Below are 24,345 nucleotides of genomic sequence, written 5' to 3'. Positions count from 1 at the left end.
CACTACTGTGTTGAATAAGAGTGGTGAGAGTGAGCATTGTTGTCTTTTGCCAGTTCTTAGAGGAAAAGCTTTCAGCTTTTCCCCATTCTACTGATGTCTAATTTTTTGTTGTTGTTGAGTCTTTAGCGTTTTCTACATGGATGATCATTTCAACTGTGAACAGAGATAATTTTACTTCTTTCTTTCTGATTTGGATGCATTTTATTTCTGTTTCTTGCCTATTTGCTATGGCTAGAACTTCCAGTACTATGTTGAATAGAAGTGAGAGTAGGTATCCATGCCTTGTTCCTGATCTTAGAGGAAAAGCTTTCAGTTTTTTAATACTGAATATTATAGCTGTGGACTTTACATATATGGCCTTTATTATGTTGAGGTAAATTCCTTCTATTAGTAGTTGAGTGTCTTCATCATGAAACAGTGTTGAATTTTGTCAAATGCTTTGTCTGCAACTGTTGAGATAATCATGTAATTTTTATATTTTGTTCTGTTAATGTGTTGTATTACATTGATCAATTTTTGTATGTTGAATCATCCTTGCATCCCAGGGATAAATCTCCCTTAGTCAAGGTGTATGAGCTTTTTAATGTGCTGTTGAATTTGGTTTGGTAATATTTTGTTGAGGATTTTTACATCTGTTTATTAAGGATATTGGTCTGTATTTTTCTTATAATGTTTTTGTCTAGGTTGGTCTCAGGGTAATCCTGGCCTCATAGAATAGCTAGCATATAGTTGGATTTTGTTTATCCATTCAGGTACTCTGTCTCTTGGGGAGTTTATTAATATTTAATGTAATTATTGCTAGCAAAGGACTTACTATTGCCATTTGTTAATTGTTTTCTGTCTCTGTTGTAGCTCTTTTGTCTCTCCCTCTCTGCCGTCTTCCTTTGTGGTTCATTGGGTTTTTTTTTTTTTTTGTAGTGATATACTTTGATATCTTTCCCATTTTTCTCTGTTTATCTTTTATAGGTATAGGGCATGGTAAAACAATCTGTTTTAAGCTGATAACATCTTACGTTCAATCACATATAAGAGCTCATTTTTGTTCTGTTGAATTTTTTTTTTTTTTTGAGACAGGGTCTCACTCTGTTGCCCAGGCTGGAGTGTGGTGGTGTAGTGTGATCATAGTTCACTACAGCCTCAAACTCCTGAGCTCCAGTAATCCTCCTGCCTCAGCCTCCCAAATAGCTGGGACTTGTAAAATTGGCCAGTTGTGGTGGTGCATGCTGTTTGCTCACAAGTAGCACATGCCACCCTGTCTCTTTTGCAGAGACAGGGTCTCACTGTGTTGCCCAGACTGATCTCAAACTCCTGGACTCAAGCGATCCTCTCATCTCAGCCTCCCAAAGCACTGGGATTACAGGAGTGAGCCACCGCACCTACCCTCCCGTGCCGCCTAATAGGTAGAATAATTTCTCTTATTTTCCTGAGGATATTAGTTATGGTTTGTTGAAGTTTTTTCCTATTTCCTTTCTTTTCTTTATGTTTGTTGTGTTCTCTCTTTCACATTAGAGGAGTTCCTAAGATGCCTGATAATCCATGCCCAACTTTATAAGTAGGAACTAAAAAGCAGATTGGAATCTCTGAGCACACAAATGGCACTTGTTGACTTTGAGCTTCACTTTAAAGTGGTCTGGCTGGGTCATTTGTTAGAGAAATTCCTCATCCCAAGTCAGTATTTTTATATCTTTCCTCCTAGGACTTACCAGTTTTCCCAGAGAAGACTTCCAAAATCTTTCTTACGAGGGTACTACCAGCGTTCTAGGAGCCAAATGGCAGAAAAGGACTGGGAGGACCTCAACATTTAGTATTCTCTTAGTTTCCTTGCTTTCAGAAACAGTGTTCACATCTTCAGCCATGTATGGCATTCCCCATCTTCTGACAATGAGCCTCAAGTTTTCTACCAGGATTGGCAAGTTATCTTTTACCCCATAGCATATTGTGAGGGAGGGTATTTAAAAATCATATTGGCTTTTAGACAGCCTTCAACTGATTTGCCTTATTTTAACCCCATCCCTTCACATTTATTTCTGAAGGTAAGTGAAATTATCAGTTCCTGAACTATTTAAGGATTCTTAAGTGGTGACAGGTGTGTTCTTGGCTCTCTCCACTACCAGTTTAAAATTCAGCTTTCTTCAGTGTGCTGAGTTGGTTCCTGCTCATCCAATTATTTTTCATCTTCCAGATTATTATTGCTGTTGTCTCCTTTTCTTGTTCCTCCTGACCTTGTTGATTTGTGTTTTTTTTTTTTTTTTTTTAAGTGCCTATAGTTTTAGAGAGTTTTCTGGATGGAATGAAATTAAATGAATGTGTTCAATCCACCATTTTTATGTGAAACTAATTCTAATCATAATGAAAGAGTTTTCTTACGGCTGAGCATGGTGTCTCACGCCTGTAATCCCAGCATTTTGGGAGGCCAAGGCGGGTGGATCACCTGAGTTTGGGAGTTCAAGACCAGCCTGGACAACATGGTGAAACCCCACGTCTACTAAAAATACAAAAATTAGCCAGGTGTGGTGGCACATGACTGTAATCCCAGCTACTCGGGAGGCTGAGGCATGAGAATCACTTGAGCCTGGGAGGCCAAGGTTGCAGTGAGCAGAGATTGCGCCACTGCACTCCAGCCTGGGTGACAGAGTGAGACTTTGTCTCAAAAAGAAAAAAACAAAGAGTGCCTTACCTCCTTTATATGATATTTTGGTTGATCCTCAATTTGTTTTAGGTATTATACCTGAAGAACCTTAGCCCTCGGGTGACTGAAAGAGATCTTGTGTCATTGTTCGCTCGGTTCCAGGAGAAAAAAGGACCTCCAATTCAATTCCGAATGATGACTGGACGAATGAGGGGCCAGGCTTTTATCACCTTTCCCAGTAAGTAGTTTCATCCAGATGATTACTCAGTTGCCCCTCAGTTCGCTAGAGATTACCTATAACCTCTCTAATTTAGATATAGTCCTTTGATTTCTCCACAGCATGTGAGAACAAGACAATGAACGAAAAATATGTTTTCAGTGTTTCTTTCTGTTTCCTCTCCTCCATTGACAGTGCATGGCCACACTACCCCAGTGTCCTCAGTTTTTCCCAGTCTTGGTACTTCCTTCTTACCCTACCAAAATCTGTACTCCCTTCACTGACAATAGTATTTCTAGTCCAAGTTATAATTAGATTACTCATTAATTAATGTATTAGTATTCTGATCAGAACACATGTACTTGGCTTATGCGCTGTTCCTTTAGGACTAAGTGAGAGCAAGCTAATATACTAATTTATTACTAATTCATAATTAGTAGATGATGATACAGTCTTCTAAATATTATTTGCATATTAATTAATGCATAGCTTCTAATCCAACTGGAAGAATAATATGCAAATTTCAGTTTCTATGACAGACCAGATAATATGTTGTTTTGGGGGAAGGCTTTGTAGGATCTGTACCTTTCATTGTCCCTAAAGTATCGTCATTTCTAAATAGCCTATTAATCTATATGTGGGCAAGTGGTTTTACACATGAATACTGCCAAACTCCCCTCCATTGTTTTCATACAGTCTTGTATCATCTTTCCTATCATACTGAAGGTTTTTAAATCCGCTATACCAGTGGTTTTCAGTCTTTTCAAGTGTAAGAACCCCTTTTAAATTTAAAAAACCGTTTATGGGTGCCCCACATAATACGATGTATTAGTTGAAAAAATACATAATAAAAAGGCTTTTTAAAGCAAGTACTTTAAAATGTGTAGCTGTTTTACTAATCTTGAAAGCTATACACTTAAAAAAATTTGTAGTACTTATATATATGAAACAAAATTGGTTTAGTCTACTTGTCTACTTAGGATTCCACAAACTCCTGGCCACAAATCATCCCTTCCTTATTTCTTACATCCAGGCTCTTAGACCCATAAGTTGAATACTCCTGGCATGTAGTATATATTCTCACATTTCAACCTTCAATATGCCTACAAGTGTTCTTATACTTATTTATCCCAATAAGGTGGCCCAGAACCACTCTCCCACTGAAAAAAAAGTGGCAAAGTGCCCTTGATAACATGATAACTTCTTTTGTGTTACTCATTTTGAAAATGATTGATTCTAATAATACCTATAATCTGTTACCTAAGATAGAGACTTGTGTATAATTACTAATAGCTTAGACTTCTTTAGCACGCTGCCTATGTCTTTGTTTCTCTACTTGTTTCTTTGAATTAGGAGACACCCTCAAACACCGATTTTGAGTTTTTATTGTTATTATTTTTGCCATTAATTTAATTTTGCTTAATAATGCAAATGGGAGATTATAGAAAAAATGATCAAATCAAATGACTATATGGCCTTATAGCTTACATTTAACTCCAAGGCAAAATAATCTAAACTAAACCTGGAATAGAATTGAATTATTAAGTCCTATGTAAATTGAAATTTTTTCTTTCTCTTTTAGATAAGGAGATAGCATGGCAAGCATTGCATCTAGTAAATGGATACAAACTACATGGGAAAATATTGGTGATAGAGTTTGGAAAGAACAAAAAGCAACGGTCAAATCTCCAAGCGACTTCTCTCATATCATGTGCTACAGGTAGCACTACAGAAATTAGTGGTAGCTAGAATATATATAAATTGTGGGTCCTGGATGGTCTTTCTTGAATTGGAATCTTGGATCTAGGATTTATGTATAGACACCAGTTTGTTTGGAGTTGAAGAGGAAAAACTAACTGAGGGAGGGGAAAAAAGTAATTTCAGCTTTTGGAGAGAACTGGTAGAAAACATTTTCTATTATATAATTGAAGACTATATAGGACAGATGATATGCTGAGTATGAAGGGTAAAGTGCAAAGAGTATTATTTTCTCAGGATGAATTACAACGGATTATTCCTAAGGATTTTTAAAAATCTTTATAATTTTTCTGGGGTCCTCAATATTTGTCTCTAGAGATAACATTCTTTCTTAGACTGCTTCGTATACACAGAAATAAAAAACTAATTAAATGTTGAAATATTTCTTTACTAGAGCCCATTTGCCATATTTCATCCACCTAGTAAATAAAAGAGTAGGACCCCCAGGCCTAAGCATCAACAAATGCTATTAAGTCAGAACTATCAGCAGTAATAGTAGGTAGTTTCATAAGTCAGTTGACTTATTTAATGAATGCTTCCTCCACAAGTTATCAGTCTTCAAAAAGCTATATATTTTTCTAGTGAAATATTTTAGATCAAAATGTTGGTGTTCTCACAGCCATTTAAGCTAGCAACCATTGAGTATCATTGAATTCATAGCAATAAACATTGATTAAGTGTCTAATATATGTTAAATATTAGGCATATGAATTTTAGAAGAGGAACATACAAGCAAAGAATGCCAAACGGAAATGGAAATAAAGCGTTCTCTAGAAAAGAGGATGCCAGTCACAAATCCCCCAGTTGTTTGTTTATGGTTGCTGGAAAATAAAAAAACAATATACAGAGAGGAAGTAGTACAAACTGGAGTCAGACCTGTACAGCCACACTTAACATTCTATGACCTTGGCAAGTCACTTAATCTGAGCCTCACATTTTTCATCTATAAAGTGAGGATAATAATGCTACTTACCTCACTGGGTTGTGAAGATGAACTGAGATATTATCCAGGCTGAAGAACAGAAAGGAAAACAATGAATAAAATTGAACAAGAGTATAGAACCTGTGTGACACCATTAAGCATTCCTACATATTTCTAATGGGAGTACAGGAAAAAAGGAAAAGAAATGAAGGAGCAGAAAAATATTCTAAGAAATAATGGCTATAAATACCCCCGATTTGATGAGAGACATTAACCTATACATCCCAGAAGAAAAAGAAATTACAGACAGATACATCATAAGAAAAATGCTAAAACCCAAAAACGAAAAGAAAATCTTAACAGCAATACGAGAAAAATGAGCCATCACTTACCAAGGAACCCAAATAAAATTAGTAGTTGACTTCCCCTCAGAAACAATGGCAGTGGCAGTGGAATAACACATTCAAAGTGTTCAAAGAAAATAACTGTCAACCAATAATCCTATATACAATAAAACTATTTTTCAAAAATGAACGTGAAATAAAACATCTCACATAATCAAAAACCAAGAGAATTTGTTGCTGGCAGACCTGACTTGCTGGAAATACAAAAGGAAGTTCTTCAGCCTGAAAGCAAGTGACCACAGACAGTAATCTGAATCTACACACATGCAGAAAAAGAGCACAGGCAAAAATAATTATGTAATTATCAGAAACAATCTATGCATTTTTCTTTTTTCTCTTAACTAATGTAAAACACAGTTGTATAAAACAATATGTATATAGTTGCATCGTTTGGCCTATAACGTATAAAATATAATATATTTGCCGATAACAGGTTGAAGAAGCTGAGTGGAAGCAAAACTGTCTTGTACTAAAGAACTGACTCCAGATGGTAAGACAAATCCACAGGAACAAATGGAGAGAACGTGAAATAGGAAATAAGTTTAATATAAAAAAACTATAAACATATACTTACTCTTCTCTCAGCTTCTTTTAAAGATGTAAAATTATATTAAGTAATTATAATAATGTGTGTTGGGTTTGTAATGTATAGGAATAACATATATAACAATAATACCACAAAGCGGGGGATGGGTTTATATAGGAATAGGGTTGTTACATTGGAATTAAGTTAGTGTTTATCTGAAGCCTATTCTGTTTAGTTAAGATGTGTATGGTAAGCCCTAGAGCAACCACTGAGGAAATAACTTTTAAAAAATCAAAAATATTATTAAATGTAAATATCACATTATGAAATAATGCAAAAGAAGGAATGGAGAAGCAAAAAGCTTGAGGCATATCAAAAACAATAAAATGGCAGTCATAAGTCTTCCTATATCAAAATAACAATGTGCATGGATTAAGCAATACTATAAAAGGCAGAGATGTCAGAAACAAGTCTGATTCCACTTCATGCCATCTATTTGAGACACACTTTAGAAGATAGAAAGAGATTAAAGGTAAAAGGATGGAAAACAAATATATCACACAGACAACAGCCATAAGAAAGCTGGAGTGGCTATTCTAATACCAGACAAAATAGACTTAAAAAAATGTTACTGGAGATAAAGAGTAAAATGTTACAATGATAAAAGGGTCAATACATCAGGAAGATGTAACAACTATAAATATATATGCATCTAACAGTAGAGCCCAAAATACATGAAGCAAAAACTGAAAGGAAAGGAGAAACAGATAAGTCCATAAAAAGAGTTGGAATATTCAATACCCCTTTTTCAATAATAGAGCACCTAGACAGAAGATAAACCAGGAAATAGAAGACTTGAACAACATTATAAGGCAAATTGACCTAAAAGACATCTATAGAACTTTCCACCCAACATCAGAATACATATTCTTCTCGAGTGCATATGAAACATCTCCAAAATAGGTCATAAGTTAAAGCATAAAACAAGCCTTAATAAATATAAGTAGACTGAAATCATGCAAAGCATGCCCTCTGACCACATGGGATGAAGTTAGAAAACAATGAAAAGTTGGGAAACTCACAAATATGTGGAAATCAGACACACTTGTAAGTGACTGGCTGGGTGCAGTAGCTCACGCCTGAAATCTCAGCACTTTGGTAGGCCGAAGTGGGAGGATTCCTTGGATCCCTTGAGACCAGGAATTCAAGACCAGCCTGGGCAACACAGCAAGACCCTGTCATTACCAAAAAAAAAAAAAAATGTGTCAAAGAAAAAAATCATAAGGGAAATTACAAAACCCTTTGAGATGAGTGATAATGAAGACACAACAAACCAAAACTTACAAGATGCAGCTAAAGCAGTGTTTACAGGGAAATCTATAGGTACAAATGCCTGTACTTAAGAAGAAAAAAGACCAGGCACAGTGGCTTACGCCTGTAATCCCAGCACTTTGGGAGGCCGGGGCGGGTGGAGATCATGGGGTCAGGAGATCGAGACCATTCTGGGTAACATGGTGAAACCCTGTCTCTACTAAAAATACAAAAAATTAGCCAGGCGTGGTCGTGGGCACCTGTAGTCCCAGCTACTCGGGAGGCTGAGGCAGGAGAATGGCGTGAACCTGGGAGGCAGAGCTTGCAGTGAGCCAAGATTGCACCACTGCACTCCAGCCTGGGCAGCAGAGCGAGACTCCATCTCAAAAAAAAAAAAAAAAAGAAAAGAAAGACCATAGCACTAACCTCACTTTACACCTTAAGACCCTGGAAAAAGAAGAGCAAACTAAACCTAGAGCCAGGAGAAAGAAGGAAATATAAAAGATTAGATGAGAATAAATGAAATAGAGTGAAGAAAAGTAGAGAAAAATCAATGCAACCAAAAGTTGATTCTATAAAAAGATCAGTAAAACTGACACACCTTCTGCTAGACTGACCAGGAAAAAAGGAGAATCAAATTACTAAAATCAGAAATGAAGGAGGGAACATTTCAACTGAACTTGTAGAAATAAAAAAGATTATGAAGGCATATTATGAATAATTTTATGTCAATAAATTATCAATGAAGTGGACAAATTCCTAGGAAGACACAAACTACCAAAACCAACTCAGAAGTAGAAAACTTGAATAAACCTATATCAAGTAAATAGGTTAAATGAGTTTTTGAAAAGATACCCACAAAGAAGAGCCCAGGCTGAAATAGCTTCTTAAATGAATTCTACAAAACTTTTAATGAAAAATTAATACAAATTCTTCACAAACTTTTTCAAAAAGTAGAAGAGTGGTGAACACTTCTGACACATACTACAACATGGAAGAACTCAGAATATGCTCAGTGCAAGAAGCCAGTCACAAAAGACTACATATTATATGATACTATTTATATGAAGTGTCCAGAATTGGCAAATATATAGAGATAGAAAGTGGATTAGTGGTTGCTTAGGGCTAGCACAGAGTTGGGGGGAATGGGAAGGGCTGGGGGTAACAGTTGAAGTGTATGAAGTTTCTTTAGAGGTTGATGAAAGTGTTCTAAAATTGGTCGTGGTGGTGATTTCACAACTCTGAATATACTAAAAACCAGGAATTGTACACGTTAAATGGGTGAATTGTGTGGTGTATGAATTATATCTCAATAAAACTCACAAAAGTAGGGGTGTCCATCAATAGGAAAATGGGTAAATAACTTATGGTACATCTATTTAGTACAATACTATGCAGCCATTAAAATAGTGAAGTGTATCTATGAATATATTATGACCTATACTCATGTCCAAGGTTGTGTATTAAGTTAATAAACAAGATGCAGAAATATGTATAGTATGAATACATTTTTATGCAAAAGCATTCATTTATGTATAGTATGTATGTATATAGATATTTCTGAATAAATTTAAGAAAAAGCTGGGAAATAGACATAGAAAGTTATAAACCTTTGGAAGTGGGATTGAATAGGCTGAAGGAGGACTTTCACTTTGTAAAATTTTTAAAGTGGTGTGATTTTGGGGTGATTTTTACTTTTTTCATTTTTTTTTTTAACTAAAAAATTTTTTAAAAAATATTCTGCCAATGGCATGGCTTCCAGAATATTTGTCAGGCCTACTCTGGGGATATCATCTGACTATACTCAGGACAAACTCCTATTCCTTTGATATACTGCTCACTTAGGATTAACACTCTAATTTCAGACATAGTTAAGTGACAAGGAATAAATTATCCTGATATAGCCTCTGATACATGTTACCAGGGGCATACTTCTAAGCTGGACTTTTTAGAAGGAAGTGCTTCCTGTTAGGTAGAAAATTTCACCTCTGCTTTTTACTAGACCTACAGACCACTGCAATTGAGGAACATAAAAATGAAGGATATCCTTCAACTGGTGCATAGATAAACCGTAGTATATCCATGCAATGGAATCCTACTCAGCAATAAACTAATGAAATACACATGCAACCACTTGGATGAATCTTAAATGCATTTTACTAAGTAAAAGAAGCCAAACTCAAAAGGCTGCTTACTGTTTGATTCCATTCATATTATTTTCTCAAAAAGCAAAACAATAGGGATGGAGAAAAAACTTCAGTGGATGTCAGGGGTTAAGGTTGGAATGCTCCTTGACTACAAAGTGGTAGCATGAGGAATTTGTCTTAATAATTGAAATTTTCCGTGTCTTTATTGTAGTTACATAAGTATATGCATTTGTCAAAACCCATAGGCTTGTACACTAAAAAGGATGAATTTTACTGTGTGTAATTTTTTTAAATAAATGTTATTTTTATGGAGGAAAGAAAAACTTGGAGAGACGGTCATTTCTGTTAAGTAGTTTTTTATTCTGTGGCCTTTTGATTACAGTTGAAAACTTAAAGCCACTTTGCTACCATTCCTTATTTTCTGCCCACAGGTCAGCAGAAATCATCAGTTAGAAACATTCGTAGGCCAGGCACGGTGGCTCATGCGAGTAACCTCGACACTTTCGGAGGCCAAGGCAGGAGGATCACTTGATGCTAGGAGTTCAAGAGCAGACTGGGCAACATAGCAAGACACTGTCTCTAAAAAAAAGAAAGGAAAAAATTCGTATACACATATACATATAAGCCCACCATTTTAAAAAATCAAAGGACAAGCTGGAAAATATATTTATCCCATACAAGGAGCTAATTTCTTAGTGTACAATGTATATAACTTTTTAGTATACATAAAAAAATCCAATAAAAAAGTGGGAAAAGGAAATTTGTTGAAAAGAAAATATAAATGACCAATAAACTAAGACAAATGCTCAGAGTAGTAATGCAGATTAAGACAGTGGGCTCTCATTTTCAAAAAGCATTTTAGATTTATAGAAAAGTTGTAAAAATAATAAGAGAGTTGTCATATATCCTCACTCAACTTCCCCTAATGCTAACATCTTACTTAACTATAGTACAGTTATCAAAATCAGGAAACTAATATTGATACAACACTATTAACTATTAGACCTTATTTTAATTTTGCCAGTTGTCCCATTAATGTCCTTTCCTGATCCAGGATCAAATCCAGGATGCCACATTGCATTTTGTTATCTCCTTATTCTGTTCCTATTTGTGACAGTTCTCAGTCTGTCTTTGATGACCATGACAATTTTGAAGAGTACTATACTGGTCAGTTATATTGTATAATGTCCCTAATGAGGGTCTGTCTGATGTTTTTTCATGTTTTGTGTTTTTGGTGAGAATGCCACAAAAGTGATTTTTAGCCCTTTTTAGTGCATTGTATCAGGACATATTTGATGATAATTTTTAATACTGGTGATGTTAACCTTGATCACTTGCTTAAAGGGGTGTTTGCTGGATTTCTTTACTGTAAAGTTACAGTTTTCCTCTTTACAATTACTAAATACCTTCTGGAAGATGCACTGAGGCTGTTCAAATATTCTGTTTCCCATCATACTTTTGCCCACTACTTTTAGCATTCATCAATGGTTCTTGACAGCAGCAATTATTACGGTAGTGTTTACCTAGTGGGGATTGTCTTAGTCTGTTTGTGCTACTATAACAACAATAAAAAAAAATGGAGGCAGGGTAATTTTTAAAGAACAGATACTTATTTCTCACAGTTCTGGAAACTAGAAGTCCAAGATCAAGGTGTTGGCAGGTTCAGTGTCTGGTGAAGGCTATTCTCCCCTTCCAAGATGATACTTTGTTGCTACATCCTCCAGAGGGGAAGAACGCTGCTCCCTTTTATGGCGGAGGTACAGGGTAAAAAGGGCAAATCCCTTTTTATAACATCATTGATCCCAATCATGAGGGCTCCACCCTCATGACTTAATCATCTCCTAGAGACCCACCACTTAATACTATCACATTGATCACATTGATGATTAAGTTTCAGCATATGAATTTGAGAAGGCACATTCAGACAGCAGCAGTGATTTTCTTTTTTTTTTTTCACTCTATATTGAAATTCTGTAAGGAAGATGTCCCATCTCCTGCTTATTTTCTCATGTATTTATATCAGCATGGATGTTTATTTTACTCTATGGCTTATAGCCTAATATTGTCATTGTTTTGTTGCTCAAATTCTTCTACCTTTGGCCATTAGGAGCTCCTTCAGGTTGGCCCCTCTGTTCTTAGACATGTCCCCAATTTTTGCCCACTTCCTTGTTTTCTGGTACCACAAGATGTTCCAGGCTCATCTTGTTTTTTCCCTACCCTAGCACTGGAATTAATCATTTCTGCATGGATCCCTACTTCCTTTTATTGGGAAATGACTTTTAGAAACCAAGATCTGGGCACTAGATGTTGAGTTGTCATTTTTTAACCTGTCAGAATGTCAGATATAAAAACTGATAACACTAAATGTTGCTAAGGGTACGGAAAATAGACACTCTTGTAGGCTTTGGATGGGAGTATAAGTAAGTATAACCTTTGGGGAGGGCATTTGGCATTATCTATTAAAATTTTAAGTATGTAGATTTAGAAAATCCACATTTTGATCTCTATTATATAGAAATACTTACATGTGTTCAAAGAGATAGGCACAAGAATATTCATTGCATCGTAATAGCAAAAACCTGGAAACAAAATTTCATCAATAGGGGACTGATTGGTTTAAAATTATGGTACAACCGTGCAATAAAATATCATGTTGGCAGTCAAATGAGAACTTCCTCATTGTTTGTTTAATTTAATTTAATTTAATTCAAAGTTCCAGGATACATATGCAGGACGTGCAGGTTTGTTACATAGGTAAACATGTGCCATGGTGGTTTGCTGCACTTATCAGCCCATCACCTAGGTATTAACCCCCACATGCATTAGCTATTTATCCTGATGCTCTCCCTCCCCTTCCGCCCACCCCACCCCACAGGCCCCAGTGTGTGTTGTTCCCCTACCTGTGTCCATGTGTTCTCATTGAGAACCTCCTCATTGTTATAGACTGAATGTGACTCCTCAAAATTAATATGTTAAAATCCTAAACCCCAATGTGATGGTTTGAGGAATTGGGGCCTTTGAGAGATAATTAAGTCAGAAGGGCGAGGCCTCAGGATGGGGTTAATGCCCTTAAGAAAAACATATGTATCATTACTACTTATAAGACATTCTCTAAGATGCCATTGGGGTACTAGGTTAAACAATAAATATATGAGTCACTACCTTCAAGAATCTCTCAGCTTATAGGGGAGGTAAGAAACCTGTTTGTAAGCTGTAACATAAAGTGATGAGTACCATAAAGAAAGATGCAAAGCACTGTGGGAGTTTAGATCCCATCTGGTAGGTAAGGGGATCAGAAACAAAAAAAAGAGACCCAAGAGTGCTGTCTCTCTGCCATGTGAGGATACAGGGAGATTTCAGTAGTCTGCAACCTGGAAGAGGGTCCTCACCGGAACCTGACCATGAGGGTACCCTGATCTCAGATGTACAGCCTCCAAATTGGGAGAAATTTCTGTTTATAAGCTACTCAGTCTGTGGTACTTTGTTATAGCAGCCTGACACGAGGCCCTTATTCTTTCAATACAAATCTACCACCTACTTACCTTTGTGCCTACACTGTAGCTTCCTCCACTTACGGAACAGTATAATGGTTAAGGGCATGTGATCTAATGCCATATTCCCAGTGTATGGCTCTACCATACACTGTCTTTACCATTTACTAGCTCTATAACCAAATCTGGCCACTATTTACTACCTGTGTGAACCTGAGTAAGTTAAACTCACTAAACAGTCGTTTTCTCATTTTTGAAATGAGAGCAATAATACTATTACCTCACAGGGTGGTTGTGAGAATTAATACATGTAAGGTGTTTTGAATAGTGCCTGGTATGAACTCAGTAAGTGTTAGATTATTACAATAGACAAAGTGTCCTTGTTGCTATCAAAGATCATTTTTTTTTTTTTTTTTTTTTTTTGAGACGGAGTTTTGCTCTTGTTGCCCAGGCTGGAGTGCAATGGCGCAATCTCTGCTCACTGCAACCTCCGCCTCCCAGGTTCAAGTGATTCTCCTGCCTCAGCCTCCCAAGTAGCTGGGATTACAGGTGTGTGCCACCACGCCTGGCAAATTTTGTATTTTTAGTAGAGACAGGGTTTCACCATGTTGGCCAGGTTTGTCTTGAACTCCTGACCTCAAGTGATCCACCCGCCTCGGCCTCCCTAAGTGCTGGGATTACAGGCATGAGCCACCACGCCTGGCCTCAGTGTGGTTTTGATTTGCATTTTCCTGATGATTAGTGATGTTGAGTATTTCTTCATGTATTTGTTGGCAATTTGTATGTTTTCTTTTGAGAAATGCCTGCTCAGATCACTGGCCCATTTTAAAATCACAGTTTTTTTTGTTGCTGTTGAGATGTTGAGTTCCTTGTATAGTCTGAGTATTAATCCCCTGTTGGGTGAGTAGTTTGCAAATATTTTCTCCTTCTGTAGGTTCTTTTTGCTCTGTTGATTGTTTCCTTTGCTATGCAGAAGTTTTTTAGTTTAATATAATCCCATTTGTTTGCTTTTGTTGCCTGTGCTTTTGAAGTAAATAGAGTACTTAAACATTTAAAATCACTTAAACCTAACAGACAATCTATAGAACACCCAAGAACAACAGAATTCACATTATTCTCCAGTGCGCATGGAAGACTATTCTCTAGGACAGATTGTACGTTAGGCCACAAATCAAGTCTCAATAAATTGTAAAAGATTGAAACAATATGAAGTGTCTTCTCCAAATCCAATGGAATGAAAGTAGAAATGAAGAACAGAAGTAAAACTGGAAAATCCACAAATGAGTTAAAATTAAATGAAAGATGCTTAAACAACTAATATAACAAAAAGAGACAAATGAAAACAAAAACACAACATACCAAAAATTATGGGATGCAGCAAAAGTGGTGCTCAAATGCATATTTTTAAAGTGCAAACATCTATTTTTTTTAAATAAAGAACGATCTCAGATCAATAACCCAGCTTTACACCTTAAGGAACTATAAAAATGAAATCAAAGTAAACTGAAAACTAGTAGAAGGAAGGAAATAGTAAAGATTATAGCTAAGGGTTGGGCACAGTGGCTCATGTCTGTAATCCCAGTACTCTGAGAGGCCAAGGTGGGAGGATTGCTTGAGCCCAGGAGTTTGAGACCTGCCTGGGTAATGTAGTGAGACCTCGTCTCTACAAAAAAATTTAAAAATTAGCTGGGCATTGTGGCTTATGCCTATAGTCCCAGCTACTTAGGGGGCTGAGGTGGGAGAATCACATGATCGCTGCAGCGATCCATGCTTGTACCACTGCACTCCAGTCTGGGTGACAAGGTGAGACCCTGTCGCCCCCCCCAAAAAAAAAAAGATAATAGTTAAGATAAATGAAATAGGGACTAGGAAACCAATATAACCATTAAAATGAAAAAAAAAAAAGATTATTTGAGAAGATCACCAAAATTGGCAAACCATTACCTATAGTGGTTAAGAAAAAGAAGATTCAATTTATTTAAGAAATTAAAATGGGAATATTACTGTCAGCCTTACAAAAATAAAAAGGATTATAAGAGAATACTATGAATAATTATACACCATAAATCAGATTACCTGGATGAAATGGACAAATTCCTAGAAACACACAACTACCAAAATTGACGCACAAAGAAAAAATCTGAATAGACTTATAACAAGAGATTGAATCAGTAATCAAAAACCTAACAAAGAAAAGCCCAGGAACAGAAATTTCTACTGGTAAATTCTAGAAGCATTTAAAGAAGAATTAACACCAATCTTTCTCAAACTCTTCAAAGAAATGGAAAGGAAGGAAAGACTTCCTAACACATTCTATGAGGCTAGTATTACACTGCCATCAAAGCCAGAAAAATACACAAGAAATGAAAACTACAGGCCAATGTCCCTTACGAATACAGATACAAAAGTCCTCAAGAAAATACTGGCAAATCACACTGAACAGCGTATTAAAAGCATTATACATCATGACCATATGTGATTTATCCCAGAAATGCAAGGGTCATTCACATAAGAAAATCAATCAATGTAATAAGTTACATTGATAGAAAGGAAAAAAACACATGATCATCTCATTTAATGCAGAAAAGTCATTTGGCAAAATCTAATACCCTTTCGTGATAAAAACACTCAGCAAACTAGGAATAGAAGGGAACTTCTTCAACATGATAAAGAACATTTATGAAAAGCCCACAGCTAACATGATACTCAGTGGTCTTCCACCTGATCATAGGGGAAAAGATTTTAGTCTTTCACCATTGTGTATGATGTTAGTTGTGGTAACCTAAATATAAGGGCTAAAACCATAAAACTCTTAGATGAAAACATAGGGATAAATCTTTGTGTTCTTAGATTTGACTAGTCATTAGGGAATTGCAAATCAAAACCACAATGAGATACCACTACACACCACAAGGATGAGTATAAGAATACATTTCTAAGAAGGAAAGTAAGTGTTGACAAGAACTTTGAGGAATTCAAACCCTCATACATGGCTGGAAGGCAGCTGCTATGGAAAACAGATTGGCTGTTCAAAAAGTTAACCATAGAATTATGATGTGGTTCATTAAATAATGAGTCATTCAAATAAAACTTGGCCAGGCGCAGTGGCTCACGCCTGTAATCCCAGCACTTTGGGAGGCCAAGGCGGGCAGATCACGAGGTCAGGAGATAGAGACCATCCTGAGTAACACGATGAAACCCTGTCTTTACTAAAAATACAAAAAATTAGCTGGGCGTGGTGGCGGGCGCCTGTAGTCCCAGCTACTCGGGAGGCTGAGGCAGGAGAATGGCGTGAACCTGGGAGGCGGAGCTTGCAGTGAGCCAAGATCGTGCCACTGCACCCCAGCCTGGGTGACAGAGCAAGACTCCGTCTCAAAAAAAAATAATAAAAAAATAAAACTTGTACTCTAGCGTTTGTTGTAACACTATTCACAATAGACAAATGGTGAAAACAACTCAAATATCCATCAACTGATGAATGGAGAAACAAAATGTGTTATATAGCCACACAATGGAATATTACTCAGCCATGAAAAGGAATTGAGTACTGATACATGCTACAATGTTTGTACCTCAAAAACGTTATGCTATGGAATAAGCCAGACACAAAAAGTCACATATTGTATGGTTCAATTTATGAAATATCCAGAATAGGCAAATACAACAGAGATGGAAATATTAGTGGTTTCCAGGGGTTGGGGGAAAGAGAATGGGGAGTTACTGCTTAATGGTTACCCAGTTTCATTTTGGCATGCTGGCAGTATTCTGGAGTGAGATAGAGGTGATGGTTGCACAACATTGTGAATGTACTTAATGTCCACTGTATTGTGCACTTTAAAATTGTCTAGATGGTTGCTTTTAGCCACCCGTTCAGAAACCTTGTGCCATCAAGCCACCCAAGTGCTCTTAAATTTCCTCGCTACCTGTGGCTACAAGGTTTCCAAACCAAAGGCTCAGCTCTGCTCACAGCAGGTTAAATACTTAGGTCTAAAATTATCCAAAGGCACCAGGGCCCTCAGTGAAGAACGTATCCAGCCTACACTGGCTTATCCTCATCCCAAAACCCTAAAGCAAGTAAGAGGGTTCCTTGGCATAACAGGTTTCTGCCAAATACAGATTCCCAGGTACGGCGAAATAGCCAGACCATTATATACACTAATTAAGGAAACTCAGAAAGCCAATACCATTTAGTAAGATGGGCACCTGAAGCAGAAGCAGCTTTCCAGGCCCTAAAGAAGGCCCTAACCCAAGCCCCAGTGTTAAGCTTGCCAGTGGGGCAGACTTTTCTTTATATGTCACAGAAAAAAACAGGAATAGCTCTAGGAGTCCTTACACAGGTCCGAAGGATGAGCTTGCAACCCATGGCGTACCTGAGTAAGGAAATTGATGTAGTGGCAAAGGATTGGCCTCATTGTTTATGGGTAGTGGCAGCAGTAGGAGTCTTAGTATCTGAAGCAGTTAAAATAATACAGGGAAGAGATCTTACTGTGTGGAATCTCATGATGTGAACGGCATGCTCACTGCTAAAGGAGACTTGTGACTATCAGACAACTGTGAGGAAAGTAACAAATCATAAATCCCCATGGCCCTCCCTTATCATATTTTTCTCTTTACTGTTCTCTTACCCCCTTTCGCTCTCACTGCACCCCCTCCATGCTGCTGTACAACCAGTAGCTCCCCTTACCAAGAGTTTCTATGAAGAACGCGGCTTCCTGGAAATATTGATGCCCCATCATATAGGAGTTTATCTAAGGGAAACTCCACCTTCACTGCCCACACCCATATGCCCCGCAACTGCTATAACTCTGCCACTCTTTGCATGCATGCAAATACTCATTATTGGACAGGGAAAATGATTAATCCTAGTTGTCCTGGAGGACTTGGAGCCACTGTCTGTTGGACTTACTTCACCCATACCAGTATGTCTGATGGGGGTGGAATTCAAGGTCAGGCAAGAGAAAAACAAGTAAAGGAAGCAATCTCCCAACTGACCCGGGGACATAGCACCCCTAGCCCCTACAAAGGACTAGTTCTCTCAAAACTACATGAAACCCTCCGTACCCATACTCGCCTGGTGAGCCTATTTAATACCACCCTCACTCGGCTCCATGAGGTCTCAGCCCAAAACCCTACTAACTGTTGGATGTGCCTCCCCCTGCACTTCAGGCCATACATTTCAATCCCTGTTCCTGAACAATGGAACAACTTCAGCACAGAAATAAACACCACTTCCGTTTTAGTAGGACCTCTTGTTTCCAATCTGGAAATAACCCATACCTCAAACCTCACCTGTGTAAAATTTAGCAATACTATAGACACAACCAGCTCCCAATGCATCAGGTGGGTAACACCTCCCACACGAATAGTCTGCCTACCCTCAGGAATATTTTTTGTCTGTGGTACCTCAGCCTATCATTGTTTGAATGGCTCTTCAGAATCTATGTGCTTCCTCTCATTCTTAGTGCCCCCTATGACCATCTACACTGAACAAGATTTATACAATCATGTCGTACCTAAGCCCCACAACAAAAGAGTACCCATTCTTCCTTTTGTTATCAGAGCAGGAGTGCTAGGCAGACTAGGTACTGGCATTGGCAGTATCACAACCTCTACTCAGTTCTACTACAAACTATCTCAAGAAATAAATGGTGACATGGAACAGGTCACTGACTCCCTGGTCACCTTGCAAGATCAACTTAACTCCCTAGCAGCAGTAGTCCTTCAAAATCGAAGAGCTTTAGACTTGCTAACCGCCAAAAGAGGGGGAACCTGTTTATTTTTAGGAGAAGAATGCTGTTATTATGTTAATCAATCCAGAATTGTCACTGAGAAAGTTAAAGAAATTCGAGATCGAATACAATGTAGAGCAGAGGAGCTTCAAAACACCGAACACTGGGGCCTCCTCAGCCAATGGATGCCCTGGGTTCTCCCCTTCTTAGGACCTCTAGCAGCTCTAATATTGTTACTCCTCTTTGGACCCTGTATCTTTAACCTCCTTGTTAAGTTTGTCTCTTCCAGAATTGAAGCTGTAAAGCTACAAATGGTTCTTCAAATGGAGCCCCAGATGCAGTCCATGACTAAAATCTACCACGGACCCCTGGACCAGCCTGCTAGCCCTTGTTCCGATGTTAATGACATCAAAGGCACCCCTCCTGAGGAAATCTCAACTGCACAACCCCTACCATGCCCCATTTCAGCAGGAAGCAGGTAGAGCGGTCGTCAGTCAACCTCCCCAGCAGCACTTGGGTTTTCCTGTTGAGAGGGGGTACTGAGAGACAGGACTAGCTGGATTTCCTAGGCCGACTAAGAATCCCTAAGCCTAGCTGGGAAGGTGACCGCGTCCACCTTTAAACACGGGGCTTGCAACTTAGCTCACACCCGACCAATCAGAGAGCTCACTAAAATGCTAATTAAGCAAAAACAGGAGGTAAAGAAATAGCCAGTCATCTATCGCCTGAGAGCACAGCAAGAGGGACAATGATCGGGATATAAACCCAGGCATTCGAGCCAGCAACGGCTACCCTCTTTGGGTCCCCTCCCTTTGTATGGGAGCCCTGTTTTCACTCTATTAAATCTTGCAACTGCAAAAAATAATTAAAATAAGTCTAGATGGTATGTTTTATGTTATGTGCATTGTCCACATTTTTTAAAAAAGCAAACTTCTTATCATAGTCTACAAAGCCCTATAACAGATCTGGCTATTGACCACCTCTCTGACCTCTTCTCATACTACTCTGCCCTTACACATACAGCAGACATATTGGCATTCTTTTCTAAGAAGTCAAGCTTCTCCTTACCTTAGCATCTTTGTTCCCTTTGCCTAGAAAGTTGCCCCCCCTCCGCCAACCCACAACCCCATATGTACACGTGGCTGCCTCCTTCATCAGGCCAAATGTCACTTCCCTTAGAAAAGCTTTCTTTGGCTACCTTATTTATAAAGAATTTCACCAACTCTCCTCTCAGTCACTTTCTATCTCATGACCCTGTGTACATCCTTCATACCACTCAACATTATGTGAAATTATCTTACCAATTATTTTCATACTTGATTATCTGTTCCCCTATTAACATATGACCCCCAAGAGGCCAGACGCAGTGGCTCACACCTGTAATCCCAGCACTTTGGGAGGCCGAGGCATACGGATCACTTGAGGTCAGGAGTTCGAGACCAGCCTGGCCAACATGGTGAAACCCTGTCTCTACTAAAAATACAAAAATTAGCCGGAAATCGCTTGAACCCGGGAGGTGGAGGCTGCAGTGAGCGAGATGACGCCACTGCACTCCATCCTGGGTAAAGAACGAGACTCTGTCTCAAAAAAAAAAAAAAAAAGGATATGACCTCCAAGAGAGTAAAAATATTTTTTTAATTGCCATGTTTCAAGCATCTAGAATAGTGTCATATAGTTGCTTAATAAACAATTGTTGAATTCGTGAATGAGAAGATATACTTGACACATTAGCTAATTCTTACAGTCTTTCCCTCTTCAAACAATTATAGTGAGAAACTAACATGCCAAAAATTATTTCTCCTATAATACCTGAGCAACCGTGGATGTCTTCTGTTCTCTGGTGGAATAAGCTTGTCCATAGTGAGTAGGGTCATCAGTCACAAGTATGCTCACAAGATTTTGACTTTCTCTCTGAGAACTTAACTTTCCTTTTTGGCCTAAGCTTATAAAGAATCAGAATATGAATCCTAAAAGTCCTAACATTATATAGACTGCTGTTTGAAAAGTTCAAATGATTCTTGTAGTGAGATAATAATAGTAAGCATAACAATTTACTTACCATTGCTATGCTAACATGTTTTATGTATCGTACAATCTCATCATTTTTACAAAAACCCTCCCTTGATGTCCTCCCAGCTGACATCCCATTTCTATACTCCCTTTAATAGTAAAATTTATCCAGAGTTGTTTATACCTCTGTAAAGGTTCACAAGACTGGCGGGGGCTTAGAGTAGACCCAGTTGCAACAGCAGTTCCAATAACATGAAAACAGCTGCGAGGAGCAAAAGGACCCCCAGTATCTCTACCACCTGCGTGAGTTTAGTAAGACAGGACACTTGTACAAGTCAAGAAAAGCTGCCTTATTACTCAAAGATAGGCAGCAAGGATAAACAGAAGCCTAGGATCCAGAGTGAGCCGGTCTCTCAAAGGCTCAGGGAAGTGCCCAAGGTGATTGGAGTCTTATCTGCACGTACCCTACATTGCACAACAGCTGAGTGACCCCGAAACTGCTCTGCTCTGGATTTATATATTCTGGATGCCACTTGTCCCACTGAGCACAAATGTTGCAAAACAAGGTCATAGCTCAGATTTTTTCAGACACTTCAACTAAGAGGAAGGAGTGGGAAGAACTAGGTTGGCTGAGGCTATCCAGGCACCTGTCCTCGTATAACCTCTTTATCTCCAATTTTCCTCCTTAATTCAGTTTAGTCAGGCTTTTGGCCCTACCCGTTTACTGAAATAACTCTTTAAGGCCACCAGTTGCCAAAAGATGTCATGGCCATCTTTTTGTCCCCACTTAACCTCTCAGCAGCATTCAACACAGTTGATCACTCCCTCCTTGAAATGTTTTCTTCACCTGGCTACTGTTAAACCTTAGTCTTGGTTTCCTTCCTCCCTCACTGGCTGCTCTTTCATTCTTTCCTTTGCTGGCTGATTTGTCTTCTCTCATCTTTAATGTTGGGTTTTCCCAGGGCTCAGTACTACAGAATACTTCTCTATCTGTACTAATTGATGACATTCAAATTCATTCAGATTGAGACTCCCCTGAATTCTACTTGTATATCTAGCTTCCTACATGATACTTCCACTTAGATGTCTAATATGCATGTCAAACTGAGCTCATCCAAAACAGAACTCTTGATACACTTCCTATTCAAAAACTGGTTCCATTCCCAATGTTAACACCTCCCTAAATGATGCAACTATTCACATGGCTGCTAAAGATAAGAATATTGAAACAACTGTAGTGCTTAGAACAGTACTTGACACATAGGTGAACAATAAATATTAATTGAATGAATTAATAAAATTAATCAATATAATTCTCATAAGCCCATTTCTACTTGATGTAATGGAGTGCAACCCTGCAGGATATAGAAGATAGGAACATACCTCCCTCCTACTATAACAACAATATATGTATATATGTATATGTGTGTGTGTGTATATATATATATATATAGAGAGAGAGAGAGAGAGAGAGAGAGAGTTCTTTCTATGTGAGTGGAGATTAATGACCACTTTCCTTCCATGGGCATCTGCCAAGTCTGGGTATGGGCTGATAATTGTTTTTTGCCATAGGCAGAGAGACTCTGCTCAGGAGATAAAAGTAGTAGAACTTTTGACAGCCTCATGAGCTGACATGAAAGATCAGAATTTGGAGAACCCTCAAACTTGAAGTCAGGTCTCACCTTGGTTTTTCCCCACTGACTTTTCTTGAGCACTGGAGCGGCACTGGAGCCTCAGAGGATGGGCTGGAAAGTCCGAGATAAATCTCTTGCAATCTCATGATTTATAGGAGACAAAGTCTGGGTATAGAAAAGATTGTCTCCCAAAAGGGAAGAATCTATTTTCAGATTTTGCCCTCAAGAATTTTAGTTAGGACAGAGTGGAACTAAACCCACAACCCTGTGCCAACCTAGCTCAATTTCTAATTGGTTTGAAGTGATTACTCCTCACCCATTTTCCTGACAAAAGAGCCTTCCCTCTCTAAAAGGAAAAAAAATCGTTGATATCAGAATCTATATCACTTTTGCACAATTTTCATTATTGTGGAGGCTAAACCAACTCCATCGTGGAAGCTAATCCACCATGCTGGCTTCTGATTAACCCCTATTCCAGGAAGGCCTCCAAGATTTCCAGTTTATCTATTGTTCCTTGTGTAAGAGCAGGTTCTTACCATAAATCCTGTCCTTAGGTCAAACAACTTTGATGTTATCATACTTCAGTTGTCCTACATAACCCTTCTGAACCACCCCCTCCCCTGTTGTATATAAACTCTGGGTCTAGGGGGTAATGGCACAGGAATCCACCATCTTGTCTCATCACCACCTGAGACAGACATGGCTTCTGTTCCTAAGTCGCTGTTAAATGTTTCTTTCTAAGAAACTGGATCTAAGAAACTGGATTTGTCAGCCTCTTTCTTCAGCCTCTCAGCTTCCTCGGACTTTGGGAAAGGTTTGCATAGACTTGTCTCCTGCAAAACAAGCATATCAAAAGATTATGAGACATATGAAGAAACAGGAAAATGTGACCTATAATCAAAATGAAAACAGTCAGTATAAGTAGACCCACTAGTGATCCAGATGTTGAATGTACTGATACGTGATGCAGCACAGCTATACCCCAACAACATGCTGAATGAAAGAAGCCAGGCACAAAAGGTCACATTTTTTATTCCACTTATATGACATAGCCAGTATAGATAAATCCATAGAGACAGAAAGCTGATTGGTGGTTGTTGGGGTCTATGGGTAGAAGGGAATAGGGAGTGAGTACTTAATGGATATAGGGTTTACTTTAGGGGTGATTAAAATTTTTTGGAACTAGAGGTGGTAGTTGGACAACACTGAAGGTACTAAATGCCACTGAATTTTACACTTTATTAATTTTATGTTTGTGTATTTCACTTTAATTCCTTGAATGGGTTTATTAGTAGACTGAACACAGCAGAAGAGTAGTGAACTCAAAGACAGTGCAATAGAAACTATTCAATTGAAGTACATGGAGAAAAAATAATGGAAAGAAGAGAAAACAACACGAGAGTTATGTAGGAGATTGTCAGCCAGTATAATATTAGTGTAATTAAAATCTCAGAAGGAAAAGAGCAAGAGAATGAGGCAGAAAAAAAAAACTATTCAAAGTGATAATGGCTGATAATTTCTCAAAAGTAATGACAGACATCAACCCACAGATCCAGTAATCTCAGTA

The 24,345-nt window shown here is 38.1% G+C and overlaps 1 protein-coding gene across 30 annotated transcripts in view; it reads left to right on the top strand.

Moving 5' to 3' along the window:
- RBM41 (RNA binding motif protein 41) overlaps window positions 1-20,020 on the top strand; it is a 66,721-nt gene extending 46,701 nt beyond the window's left edge. For 11 of the 30 annotated variants that reach the window (NR_136728.2, NR_136729.2, NR_136732.1 and 8 more), the window contains 2 exons: window positions 2,720-2,867; window positions 4,429-10,237. Coding sequence is in view for 25 of the 30 variants with exons in the window: in NM_018301.5 (NP_060771.3) it covers window positions 2,720-2,867; window positions 4,429-4,595 (315 nt within the window). In the remaining 5 variants the exon portion in view is untranslated. Of the gene's footprint in view, window positions 1-1,696; window positions 2,868-4,428; window positions 10,238-19,409 lie in introns of those variants that run through there. The other 19 variants (NR_136731.1, NM_001171080.2, NM_001324244.2 and 16 more) reach the window with 9 other exon arrangements.

This window comes from Homo sapiens, chromosome X (genome assembly GCF_000001405.40).
Source record: "Homo sapiens chromosome X, GRCh38.p14 Primary Assembly".
Classification (NCBI taxonomy): domain Eukaryota; kingdom Metazoa; phylum Chordata; class Mammalia; order Primates; family Hominidae; genus Homo; species Homo sapiens.
The sequence above is the reverse complement of the archived record's forward strand: the minus strand, read 5'-3'. Positions and strand labels throughout refer to the sequence as shown.